This window comes from Homo sapiens, chromosome 13 (genome assembly GCF_000001405.40).
Source record: "Homo sapiens chromosome 13, GRCh38.p14 Primary Assembly".
Classification (NCBI taxonomy): Eukaryota; Metazoa; Chordata; class Mammalia; order Primates; family Hominidae; genus Homo; species Homo sapiens.
Genome location: NC_000013.11, coordinates 22,115,777 through 22,130,036, shown reverse-complemented (window position 1 = coordinate 22,130,036; position 14,260 = coordinate 22,115,777). Strand labels below are relative to the sequence as shown.

General features: G+C 43.0%; 1 long non-coding RNA gene across 1 annotated transcript in view, besides 1 other annotated feature; it reads right to left on the bottom strand.

Moving 5' to 3' along the window:
• Window positions 1-14,260, bottom strand: part of LOC105370108 (uncharacterized) — a 114,586-nt gene that overhangs the window by 25,520 nt on the left and 74,806 nt on the right. The gene's annotated exons all lie outside the window — the stretch shown is intronic.
• Window positions 2,993-3,192: an enhancer, noted in NCBI's record as "active region_7446". NCBI's record gives its function as "activates an Ori minimal core promoter by ATAC-STARR-seq in GM12878 lymphoblastoid cells {active_cell/tissue: GM12878}" and the evidence as "EXISTENCE:reporter gene assay evidence [ECO:0000049][PMID:35858748]".

Sequence of the window (14,260 nt, the reverse complement as noted above, 5' to 3'; positions counted from 1 at the left end):
TTCGAAGGCATAGAAATGATATCACCACATCAGGACTTCTGCTCCAGGGGCACCAGGGTATGGGCAAAGTAAGAGCTGTGTGTGTTTCCATCTTCCTACAGACCTACTAGATGCTCCTTTCATGGACCCTCTGGAGGATTTTCCCAAAACTGGGGTGCAGCAATATTTCTAGTTCCATCTCCTCCTCCAGAAACTTACCAGTCCCCATCAAGATGTGAAACCAATTTCTGCTCCCCTTAAACCCAGGCCAGATTTTGCAAGCACTTCAGAACGGAACCCACAGGAAGCACTGTAATGCTTCCTGGCTTCCAAAGCTTGGGTCAGAAAGGTGATATGCTTCCCCTAGTCGTCTTTCTCTCTCTCGCAGGGTTGTTGCCCTCACAACCCAGCTGCCATGTTGTGAGGAAGCCCAAGGTATATGAAGAGCCATGTGTAAGTGTTCTGGCCAACATCAGTCAGTCAGCATCAACAGTCACATGAGTGAATGAGGCTTCAGACGATTTTAGCTCCAGCCTTTGAACCTCCCAAGCTGAGGCCAAGCAAGGCAGAAATAGGCTGTTGCTCCTGAGCCCTGCCCAAATTATAAATCTATTAGCAAAATAAAATGTTGCCATTGATTTAAGCCACTTCATCTTGGAGTAATTTTTATACAGATGTAATAAATGGAACAGGCTTCATGGGTCCTCTCTCCCTAATTTTCAGATACTCAATGCACTCACAGCCTTTAAACATTCTCCAAATGTCTGTCACACTAGCTATGCCTGCCTCATGCGCACCAAGAGTAAATATTATCCTCGCGTTAAAATAAAATGCACACTTGTGAAATCATCAGTGAAACGTGAGGGAAACAGCTCAGTGGGCAGAGAGACGTCTTGTTAACTGCAGGCCACCTTCCAGCCCTTCCTGCAGTCCTACCTCATCTCACTATAGACCAGGAAAAGAGGCAAAGCTTCCCCTGCCAGCATCTCCAAGGTTGATGGCCTTCGATCTCAGCAGTCTCCAGCCAGTAACAAGCTACAGCCACAGAACCCTTCCTAATCCAGGGGAGGTTACTACATTTTCTTCTTAAATCGTAAACTGTTTATGATACTTCATGAAACGCCCATTCCAGTGTTAAGGAAACAGAATGCCTTCTTTAGGAGATAAGCCCTCATGAGAATGTTTAATTCAAGTGTTTAGTAATTCAACCATGTTAAAAATTAAGCTCCCTTTCATGACAAACACATTTTGTCGGGAGAGGAGACTGGAACACAGAGAGGTCCACTTCCATTGTTTAATCATTGTCCTTCAGGACTTGGGATGACCGTCTAAAAGAGGGAGACGCAATCAAACTGGTTATCTGTGATCGTCTCAGTAAAAACAAATGTTTGCTGGAATGCAACCGTCCTGTTTATCCTTTTGGGTTTACTTTACTGTATTTTTACTGAATTCAGTCAAATGGTTTGTGTATGTCATCACAATCTGAGAATGTGTCTTCACAAGACCAAAATAAATCATGAATCACTAATTCAGAGGGGAAAAAAGAGAAAACCAGCTGTTCATCGGCAAAACACAGTCGTTCCATTGAATCCATTTTATGCTGAGGCAAAAACCTAGCAGGGTGGAAAAGCATAAAAATCTTCCAATATAGAAATCCACAAATCACTTTAATTCCTTCCCCTTTCAAATATTTCTTCTCAATTTTTGGGAGATCTCAATGATGAGACTCTAAGGAATTACACCCAAGCCTCAAATTGATCATGTACTCACTTTGAAACAGTTAAATTTCATGAGAAAAGCTTACAACTGGATAGGTCATTTGTTTGTTTGGTTTATATAGGTCATTATTATTTTATAAATTTTCTATACAACAAATTGCCTGGTAAGGTTTCTGGCCTAGATTTAAAAAAATTTGTAGAACTGGGCACTTGAAAGTCTCCCCAAATCCTGGGTATAAGTTAACTCTAAGAGAGCAGCAGATGCTCATTGATTCTATTCCACCAGAATAGAAATACACGTCTTGAGTTCGTGGCCAGACACAAAATGAGGAGAAGCCACCACCTATCTTGGCAAGTTTCCCCAACTGTGAAACAAAAATAACATTTGCTCTGCTGACCTAACAGTGATATGAGAAAAAAATGAATCATTCAGAGTTTGTTGCAAGACAGGTATTTTTAAGATTAAAAAGGAAAACAAACTTTTGTTCACTGTGTGCAAAGAACTACGAATTGTGGTCATCTGTGTTTTAAAATAAGCCCATGACCTGCAATCTCTCTTTGCTTGTGAGCCCTGGGATTTTTGATATATCAGGTTATGTGTGTGGTGCATGTACATGTGTGTGCACATGTGTATGTGTGTGATGTGTGGTGCATGTGCATGTTTAGTGTGTGTGGTGTGTGTGACATATGTGGGGAGTGTGGTGTGTGTGAGTGGCATGTGTACCACGTGCAGTATGTGTGTGGTGGGTATGATGTGTATGTGTTTGGTGTATATGTGTAGTTTGTGTGCACACGTGTGTTGTATATGCATTTGTGTGTGGCATGTGTGGGGTGTTAGGGGTGTGGTGTGTGTATGAGTAATGTGTGTGGCATGTATGGTGTGTATGGGATGTGTATGCTCTGTGTGTGTGTGTGTGTGTGTGCATGCATAGGTGTGTAGTGTATGTGTGGTCTGTGGTGCATGTGTGTGTATGGTATATGTGTGTGGTGCTTGTAAGGGTTTTTATTTTCTTGGCTTGCAGAAGCAGCAGCAGCTGAAGACTATCCACATTGTTTAGGTATGTGGACCATCACCAGAATTCTCAGGCTCTCATTACCTCCTCTCATTAGAAAAACACCTAAGAAATGGGAAACATTCTTGATTTGGCTTCCAGAATAAAATCTTAAGTGGCTGCAGGCACCGTAGGAACCATTACTCAAAAGAATCACACATCCTCAGGGATTGAAGGGACCCCTGGATACCTGCCACTTTCGAGCAGGTTCCTCGAAGGCTTTCTGGGATGGAGAAAGAAATGTGCTGGCCCTTTCTGAAAGCCAGATTCTGCTGCCTGCCTGAGGAGTTACTGACTTGAGCAATGAGGGCCTCCATTTCTCCCATCTGGGAAGACCCACGGTTTTCCTGCAATTGAGCCCATCCTGGTTCCCAGAATTTTAGGGTCCTGGACCTGGAGCAGCTGTGATCATTAAAAATACTGACAAATTATTCAGAGGAAGGAAGATGGTGAAGTTGGGGGAGTGCTTACCAGAATTAGAGTAATAAGGGGAAGTTGAGAGAGAGACAGAGAGAGAAAATGTGGTCTATCAGGCTAGCCATACCACAGAAGTGGGTGTTAACTTAGAATCTGTCTCTGACTTGAAATTACTCCTCTCCTTCCTAGAAATTACAGACAATATTACATACCTCGTTGGAATGCTGAAACTGCATTGAAGATGAAAACTACTTTGTGAGATTTTAATACTGATCACCACAATCAATTTCACTATATATAAATGAAGGTATGGTAAGCTATATGCTTCAAATTGACAGTTTCCATTTGTGTGAACTTTCAACCTCATCAGATACCCACATTTTACCTGCTTTTCATTATGAGTTAAAGTGTGAGATCTGACTAAAAAGGCAAAAAATTCCAGGAGCATATATAATGTTGAAGTGTTAACAAGGCAGTCCAGAAATATCTTAAATCATTTGAGTTTATCAAAAATCTTCTTCCCCGACCACCTTATATTCCCCTTTCCTCATCCTCAAAGGTATGCCCTACTGTTTTCCTTCATTGCTGTGTATCTGCAATACCTCAGACTTCAGTGTTTTACTCTTTGTTATTTACCAATAATTCCCTGTATCCCGCTAATTCTCTGTCTCCCGCTCTAAACATTAAACTCCATGGAGGCAGGTTATATGCCCGCTTTGTTTCACTGGGCATACTACACAGTAGGTACTATCTGTGGGATATATTAGTTGTGTTTGAATGGTGAGTTTGATCACTGGTGTCCAGGGAAGAATTGAAGGGTCTCATTCTTTGTCACACCTTGAAGAGCCACTCCGGCCTGGGCAGTTATCAGAGCCAGGTTGGCTTCAGGGAATGGGACAGAAGTCTCAGCCCCCTTGCATTTTTCCAGGCATGGCTGATGAGAATCCACCCCACAGTGAAGAGCAGCAAAGGGACCTGCAGGAGATGTGACATCTTCTGCCTCAAAAACAGAGCATCTGGCCCATTATGCCAAGGATTTCTAGACGTATCGAGGAAAGTATGTTCCTTTTACCAGCAACTATAAAGTGAAAATGCCAATTATATTAGCGCTGTCATATGGAATATTTAAAACATGGAGATAAAATCACTATTTGTTTTAAGTCAGCCTTCTTCCCTCAATTTTGGTAAAAGATTTTTTATTCTAGGTTTTTCCTTTCACCTGCCTATGAGGCCATTTGTAAGACCCAAATGATGGTGTTCCAGATCCCATTTGAGTAGGTCCTGTTTTCTTCTGTTTTTCCATGCCTTTGCCTCCTATGTTTGGATACCCTACTGTCCTCTGGCCACATAAAAGTTTTTAACCACAGCAATGGACTGAATGTTTTTATCCTCCCAAAGTTCATATGCTGAAGTCTAAATCCCAATGTGATGGTATTCGGAGATGGAGCTTTTGGGAGGAAATTAGCTCATGAGGATAGAACCCTCATGAATGGGATTAGTGGCCTTATAAGACACATGGCTGAGGGTGGTGGCTCACACCCCTGTAATCCCAGAACCTTGGGAGGCTGAAGTGGAAGGACTGCTTGAGCCCAGGAGTTTGAGACTGCAGTGAGCTATGATCATGCCACTGCATGCCAGCCTGGGCAACAGAGTGAGACCCTGTCTCAAAAAATAAAAGGTAAAAAAAAGAAGAGACATGACTGCTCTCTGCCACATGAGGACACAGTGAGAAGATGACCACCAGGAAGCAGCCCTGCGTGCAGGCTCTCAGCAAACAACGGATCTGCTGGCAAGTTGATCTTGGACCACTCAACCCCCAGAACTGTGACAAACAAGTGTGTTGTTCAAGCCACCCAGCCTACGGTAATTTGTTGCAACAACCCAGGTGACTAAAGTCACTATGATTGTCTTACCAGACTACAGCAGCTACCCAAATAAGCCCATTTAAGAAACCAGGCTATTTTTTTTTTTTTCAGAGACCTATTTGTTATTTGAACTAATGTGTTAAACTTTAGCTAAGTGACAGTGATTTTTGTACCCACACATAAACAACAACCACTACTTGAATCATCAGCTCCTTGGGGAAAATCTCATTGTTACAAATGTCTTTCAACAAAAACTTTTAGTAAACATTTCTTGCACATTTTTGGTATTACAACAATGTCTCCCTGGCTTCCCATTGTTACCTAGAAGTAGGAAAAAACCTAGAAGGTTTTTTTAAAGTCACAAGCAATTTTTACACAGCCACATAATCAGATACATCACTAGACTTGTAAGTTCTCCATTTACCAAGTAGCATCTCATGAACTGGCCTCATGTTCCACATCTCATGTGGCTGCTGAATTTTAGGTTTCGGAGATGTCTACCCCTGGATATTTTAAGCAAGAATTCCGGAATAAAAATGGCCGAATTTTAACTCTAACTCTGTCACTTGCCCTAGTTTCATTAAAGAGGCTGTTTGTTTCATCTCGACTTCACAGAGGCCAGACATTTATGGCCTCCTGCAAGGTTCTAGATTGTTAAGGTACAAATTAAACAAGATTGCTTGAAGCAAAACAGCACAGAGAGTCTCCAGAGCACAGAGAATTGTAAACTGCTGGGATTCAGCTTGCAGGCCAATAGTCACGCATGCCCCCTTCACTGGTTTACCCAGGCTTTGGGTGCCAAATCTTCTACATATTGAGGGACGTGCCTTCCTAAGATACATGATGGCCACTCCACAACTAGCCATTGCTTCTTCTAATCTGGCTAGGGTTGCCAGGCTTAACAAATGAAAATGCCATCAAATGATTCGACATGTTAGATTGTTTATGATACATTCAATACTCAAAACAAGCTTGGTGTGAGGACAGGGTGTTGGTTAGAGGGTACAAAGTTTCAGTGATGGAGGTGATGAATACGTTTATGGCCTTGATGGCCATGACAGTTCCACAGGTGCACACTTATCCCTGAACTCATCGAGTTGTACACATTTAATATGTACAGCTTTTAGTACATTAATCATACTTCAATAAAGTGGTTTAAAACAAACAAAGCTAGGTGCATCTCAAACAGAGACCTTGTCAGCATCAACATATAAAAACTAATAAAAAATAAAAATTTCCAGTGATCCCATTACTGGGCATATACCCAAAGGATTATAAATCATGCTACTATAAAGACACATGCACACGTACGTTCATTGAGGCACCATTCACAATAGCAAAGACTTGGAACCAACCCAAATGTCCATCAATGATAGACTGGATTAAGAAAACGTGGCACATATACACCATGGAATACTATGCAGCCATAAAAAAGGATGAGTTCATGTCCTTTGTAGGGACATGGATGAAGCTGGAAACCATCATTCTGAGCAAACTATCGCAAGGACAGAAAACCAAATACCGCGTGTTCTCACTCATAGGAGGGAATTGAACAATGAGAACACTTGGACACAGGGTGGGGAATGTCATATACTGGGGCCTGTCGTGGGGTTGGTGGCGGGGGAAGGGAAAGCATTAGGAGAAATACCTAATGTAAATGACGAGTTAATGGATGCAGCACACCAACAAGTGATGAGTTAACTGGTGCAGCACATGTATACATATGTAACAAACCTGCACATTGTGAACATGTACCCTGGAACTTAAAGTATAATAAAAAAAATTTTTTACTATGTTCTAGTCTGAAGAATGCTGAATAATAATAGCAAGTGCTACTTAATAAGCACTTCGCATCAGGCATTATTTTTACAACAAATTTACAAGGCAAATTTTTATTCCTATTTTATTGAGAGTGAGTATTCAATCAATTTGGGCTCTAAAGATACCATCGAAACCACTGAGCTTCAGATACAGTACTTAGGCAGTCTGCAGCCTTGTGGGCACATTGAAGCAAGGCTGATACTCCCACAGGTGTCCCTGGTGTCATTGGACCAGTTGTGCAAAACCAGCATCATTTGTTTGCTGGCATGATTGTTAAATACGTTTATTGTCATAGCTTCTGGAAGCATCTAGATGTGTAACATCTCACATATTTAAAATCTCAGAAAAATGCACGAGTTTTACTCCTTTATGGGACTCTTTCAGAGCTCCTACATTTCAGCCCCTGTGAATTAAGCAAACTACACCCACATCTACAATTTGAGCTCCTTTGGGATTCACATGTGCTTTTTGATTTAAGAAGGGTAATTCGGACTCTTGGGAAAAATACCAGAAAGGTTGCACCTCCAAACCTCCCCACCCCTGACCACTTGACTAAGAACTCCCTATCCTATAAACTTTTCCTCTATGAATACAGGAAAGTCAACCCAGAGAGATGATGTTAGATAAATGCATATCATCCTCCTCCTCCTGGGAAAGTCTGGTGTTGGATTCTATGCAGCTAGCAGCTGGGACAATGGACAGAAAAGATCGACACAACCCCCAACTCCCCTTCCAGTTCTCCCTTGCAGTCTGACATCATAAAGCAAGCACCAAGCCAGACACAGTGGCTCCTGTACTCCTAGCTACTCAGGAGGTCAAGATAGGAAGATCACTTGTGGCCAGGAGTTTGAGACCAGCCTGGGCAACATAGTGAGACTCTGTCTCTATAAAAAATAAATAAACATTAGCCAGGTGTGGTAGTGCTCACCTGTAGTCCCAGCTACTTGGGAGGGCAAGGCAGGAGGATTGCTTGAGCACAGGAGGTTGAGGCTGCAGTGAGCTCTATGATGGTACCACTGCACTTGGCCTGGGTAACAGCATAAGACCCTGTCTCTTAAAACACACACACACACACACACACACACACACACACACGCGCGCGCGCGCACACAAAGCAAGCACCAAAGTGAAGAGCCAGCCCCTTCATCAGAGAGAATCTTCCCTTTGGGCTGTTCAGGTCACTTACACAGACTCAAGTAAATTTAGAACCTATTTATCTCCTGCAACTTGCAGAGTTCTATGCCATTTAAGAAATAGCAGGTGGTGGACTACCCACTGCTAGTAAACACCACGCTGAGTGCCAGGCCCTTCTTGCGCGGAGGATAGCTGTGTCACACAGTTTGGCCTCTTTCACAGAAGGGGACATTTGTGGGATGAAGTGACATCTTTTCAAAACACCAGAAGGCTTCAGACTGGCCAGAGCACCAGCCGGCCTGCCTGGCCAGCACAGCTTTCCGTGGGTGCACAGCTGTCTAAATGGAGATGGGGAAATTACAGGGGACAGACAAGCAACCAGCTAAAAAAGAAAAAGAAAGAGGCTGAACCATGTCTCCCTGTTTACAAGGCCGCCACCTTGGAGTCCCAGGCAGGAGAAAGTGCAGCTTGAAGACCTGCCATTTGCAAATGAGCGGGCAGCCTTGGAGGAAGTACTTTTTAACCCCAGCCACAGAAACTGTCCGTGGCAAAATGCGTTGGAAACTCACAAGGAGGGAGATCACCAGGCAGCTTGTCAGTTTAACTCTTTATCGGAACGCACTTAATGGGATTTTACGTTCAGCAATATGAACTTTGAAATACTCAAGTTCATGTTTCACCTGCAGAGCTCCCATCTGTTTTCACTTCACCCTCAGAATTTCCATCTGCTCTTTTTCAGGCCTGTCTAATGGGATGCCCCGTTAGGCTCTACAGCTTTTCCAGGTGCTGAAGTCATGGAAATTTTAGAGCATTTTTTTAAAAATAAAACTTTTGGTCCTACAAGTTACCTGTGAAAATTAATTCCATTGTACAACAGCGTTCCTTGAAAGACATTTCCCAGAATGTGCATTAAGAGGTACCATGGCACATATGGTGATGGTTTATTGCTACACTTTGTGATGCCGGGAGCTCACAGGGGACCTTAAGTAATACAGCTAGGCAGAGGGCTGTGCCCAGGCCATGTTTCCCAGCTGATCACTCAGAGCTTCCCAAGTTCAAGGCCAAACCTGCAGCTCTTCCCTCAACTACTCTGGGCTACGTGAGGGCAAGATGAACCTCACAATTTCATTTGCGCATCCTGGCCTGACCTCGACCTCCAAGCAGCTGACCTGTGTGTGAGGTCAGGGGAACAGCCGCACAGCTTTCTGGAGGCATAGGGCTGGCAGCTTGTAGGAAGGTGGTTAAAGCCATAATACTAGCGTTTGAGATGTGTTCGTGTCAGTGACTCATTCTCCTTGTTTCAGATCCTCCAAAAAGAATTTCACACTGGAAAAGCAGGGGCATTCCATATAAAGTCTGAGATGATTACTAGTGGGGACCAAGTGAGAGCGAAACAAAGGAAGGAGCTAAATATGGCCGTGGCAAAGGACTGGAAGATTTGCAGAAAAACATTTAGTGTACCAAAAGGTATTTACTGTTTACTCAGAAAGGTCTCCAAGTTAGACCTCTGGTTTATCCAATATATACTAGAGATACTGATTCATTTAGCATATGATGCTTTAAGGTCAATCAAAGATTAAACAGGTCACAGGGTCACAGGTTACATGAGTACAGTGGGCAAAGAAGCAGGTCCTGCTGTGTAATTTAGACAGATCAAAAACGGACTCAGATTGTCTCCTCTCTGCGGATCCATCAGCTGGAGATTCACTGTTTGGGTTTAGCAGCTACGATGAAGCTGCAACATTTGCCCACTTAAAGCATTTAATTCAAATGTGCTGAAAAGTGATATGCATTGTTAGCAGCCTGGCCTTTCCATCAGATCATTGGAACCTTCTCTTTTATGCAGTCTTCAGTCTCTCCCAGATAGAAACGCCTTGTCTCTACCAGTGGGTCTCTCCTACTCAGCTCCCTAAGACGGCATCCAGGTGTAAAGGGTAGAAGACAACCCACATATCCTCCCATTGGGAAGGGGGACCCTCTGACCTTGCATGGCTCACTGGGTATGCACTGGTGACATCTGCTGGTTTCAAAGGTTCTGTCCCTTGTCCCAAATGGGACCTACATGCCCGGGTAAACTCATGGCGAGTCATGGGTTCCAGCCCTGCTCTGACGGCCTTGAGTCCATTCTCTTTGACTGTCCTCCCTTCAGCCCTCACTGCCTGGAGACCGGGGCCATCCTCAGCAGGACCAGAGCTGACCCACTGACCACCCCTTCCCTCTCACCTTCAAGCACAGATAAGGGTGTGCTCTCCTTGGCTCTCCTCTACTAACACATCCTTTTACCACTGAAGATCCTGCCTCCCCATTCCTCCGCCATCTGCAAAGGGATGTGGAGAACGCTGAGATGGAACATCTAGGCTGACCCTTGATATGCCAGAGGGAGAGGAGAAGAAAGAACTTAAGACAATTCTGTGTCAGGTCTCAATAGGATTTGGAGTTTGGAAAGCTACTTAAGCAGTCAGTGAAAGTAACCAAAGAAAAGTCCATTTTTATGACTAAAAGAATGAAGCGTATCACTTTCTTAGTTTTACTACCTTTGTCAATTATAAAAAAAAAATGCTTATACATAATATTGTCTGCCTAAAGCTGTAGCCATGTCAGATTCCATCTTTTTTCTCCTTCTGTGATAACAGATATACTGGAGAACATGTTCTTTCTGTGGGTCAGGAGCCTGCCTGAGATCGGGGCTAGAATACAGTCTGTTTCAAGAGGTCCATGTTCATTTTTGAACTTGTGGGTTCTTTTCTGCCAGAGAAGCTGAAACACCTCTATGAAACATACTCTTGAAGATTTCTCTGTCTCAAGCTCAGTGTTTGCCTGAAAAATAGCATCAGCAGCAACAACAAGAAAAGGAAAGCAAACATTTGATGTGATTTCAGCTACATAAGCAAAGTGTTTTCTCAAAGTTTGAAGATGCCTTCATTTAGTAAAGAAAGCCATAGCCCTACAGCACACATATGCGTGGATCTAAGATTTTTCATCTGCTTGTAGCTTTCAAGACGAGAACAAAGAAAATGCTAACTTCTGGGGTCAATGCTCAGTGACCCGCAGGGCTTCTGTGGGACTTGGCTAGAAATGGACAAGAGAGTTGTGTGATATCCTAAAGGTAAAGTGTAAATATTCCCTCCAGAAGAACACTCCAGGTATGTCATCAGATTTCTGAGATCCACATAAAAAGAAATCTTGAATTCTTTGTTATGGTGGTGAAGAATGACTAGAATTGCTAATGTTTTCATTACTCATTACTACTTCATTACTCCAGAAAAAATTTCAGTATAGTTCTAGGAAGCTAAAATACAGATTTGCCAAAAGATGCTCTGGATTTTAAATACAATAATTCGGGATTTAGATTTCTACTCCTATCTTCACAACATGGCATACTATCTTTACGACCTGAGATTTACCAACCTCAATCAGTACCTGCCTCATAGGGTTACTCTAAAGATTAAATGAGACGGTGTTTGGAAACATACATTGTAAGTATCACATGCCTGGCATGTGGAATGTGCTCAAAACACAGAGCCTATTATTCTATTATTATTACAAATCGTATTTTAAACCTTAACCAGGTCCTTTTTCATCCAACAAGTTTTATGCAAAAGAAAGCAAGACATGGGTGGCTTCAGCACTAAATGAGGTAATGTTTTTGAAAGAGTTGGCACAGTGCCGGGGCCATCCCAAAGTCTAGCAGGGCCAAGTGACTTGCTTTGAGTCCCAGAGGTATGTCACTGCTTCCCAAAACTGAGGTTCAGATCGAGGGCTGTCTCAGATCCTTTTCCAATTCACTATTCTGATAGTTAGGAGTAGGGATCAGGGAGTGGCTTTCTTTTTCCTCTTGTTCTTGTATAAGGAACATAAATCCTTTAAGAAGGTTATAGTCATATATATTACAAAGCATAGATGTTCACGGCCTATCAGGCACACAAGAGTTTCTATCCTCTTACATCAATTAGTGCCCTGGAGTCCGCCTGAGCTACAGTAAACATCTGGGATGCTGGGGGTGGGGCAGGGGTAGGGCTGGGGGAGGAAGGGCTAATTCAATCACTATATGCACATGATCTTGGTTTTGAGGCTGTCAATTAGGATGGAAACAAGTCACCAATTACTTCCAAATACCGGGAAATTTCGGTGAGATGTTCATCTGTCCATTAAGAGCCCAACTCAGCAGCACACTCCCACCCCATACCCTCAAATGCATTTCCGACCTGCCACAGAGAAGCCATCCCATCTGGCAACACTGAGGTCCCATGGTTCAGCAGGGATAAGATTTTCAGGATGGCATCCAAAGCCTTTATCCCCCACAACTCATTGGCCATAGAGACCTTTATACCTAGGATCCATACGCCCTTGAAAAGCATCCAGGGAGGCATCAGTTTGTTTGGCTCTCTGTTCTTTTATACAGTACTTATTGAAGCTCTGTCTGACCTGCATGATCTCTTCTCAATGCTGCTTCATGGCTTATATTCCACAGAGAAGGGACATGTTGATCCCTATGATACCAGCGGATGTTAAATAATTAAATATTCTTCTCTCTAATGTCTGCCCTCAAGTCTTCCCCATCCTACTGGACAATGGTAAGATAGTTTTTAATTCCACACCCCTACCCAGCCACGCTTTTCTGTCAAAGAGCCCAGTTGTGTTCAATTTCTAAAATAAGCTGCACTGCCCTCCAATCAGTTGGCGATTCACTTTCAGGAACTGCCTGCCCCGTTTCTTTTGGAGTGAGCTCATTACAGTCTTTGCTCCCACCCCCATCCCTGTCTTTCTGGAGCCCTCCAAGCCTGGTGGGCATCTGCATCTGCTCCCATTGGGTCCTGTGCCCACTCAAATCCTCGTCCATTTCCCACTATTAGATAGAGGCCAAATGTCGCCTATTCCAAACAAATGACTCCCAGCTGAGGCGCCTAAAGACAAGAGCCAATTCCCACAAGTGTGTTAATTTATCTGCTCAAGCCCAGCCTTAGATCCCCTGACTTAAGCCATTTTTATTACTATACTATGAAAATCAAAACAAAGAAACTGACTTTGAAAGTTTTTTTGATGGGATCAATTTGTACTGAGCTCAATATTAACATCTACCCCAGAAAGCTTATTCTACAAGGCACAGATAACAGATACTACTGATACAAAGATCACCAGGGCAAGCCACCAAAAAGAAAATGTCAGACACAAAAAATGATAAGGGTGTTGCAAGGCTGTCATCATTAAAATTCTATGGTAACCTTCATTGTTTACCAAATCCTAAGAAATATAACCTGATTTTTCTTCAGGAACAATGCAATATTCCTTTGGAGACAATATAAGTGCAGTTTCAAATGATTTACCTCTATCACAGGAGAAATGGCTTTTAAATTCATTGGAATAAGGATATTTCAACACCCAGTCTTATAGTCAAGCAACAGACCAATAGTCAAAACAACAATTTTACCAAATTGTAAAAGAATCTTCACATTAAATACTCTATATATCAAACACCTCAACTATGTTAAAAAATCACAGGGCTCTGAGTTTACACATCAAAAGCAGAGGGGCTCCGTATCTCCCTTTTGTTCCTTGATAAAAATAGCCAAATGAATTTTGGCAAAGGACAAGCAAATTAGTAACCATACCACCAGCAGCATTACAACTGTGGTAAGAAACTCAATGGAGCACTGTGTAGAGTCAGAATGGCCGGGTGCCGTGGCTCACCCCTGTAACCCCAGCACTTTGGGAGGCTGAGGCAGGTGGATCACCAGAGGTCAGGAGTTCGAGACCAGCCTTGGCCAACATGGTGAAACACCACCTCTACTAAAATACAAAAATTAGCTAGGCATGGCAGTGTGCACCTGTAATCCCAGCTACTTGGGAGGCTGAGGCAGGAGAACTGTTTGAACCTGGGAGGCGGAAGTTGCAGTAAGCTGAGATCGCATCACTTTACTCCAGCCTGGGAGACAGAGCGAGACTCGGTCTCCAAAAAAATAAAAAGAGTCAGAACATGGCTAGAAAACCTCCACTGGCTGAAAGAATGTCCGGAACATGCCAGGCAGTGTCCTTAGCTGCACTGCCTTTAAACCCAGTAAGGACCTTGAACAGTAGACATTGTTCTTCCTACTTTATGAATGTTGGAATCTGATGATCAGAAAGATTAGCCAATCTGCCCAGTTAATACACAGAGGAATGGATCTGATTCTAAAGTCCTTGGACTTTACGCTAACATTTTCCAAATGAATAAACGTCTTAGTACAAAACACCTCCGGGAAAATGTTTAACATAGACTGAAAACATCACACCTTTC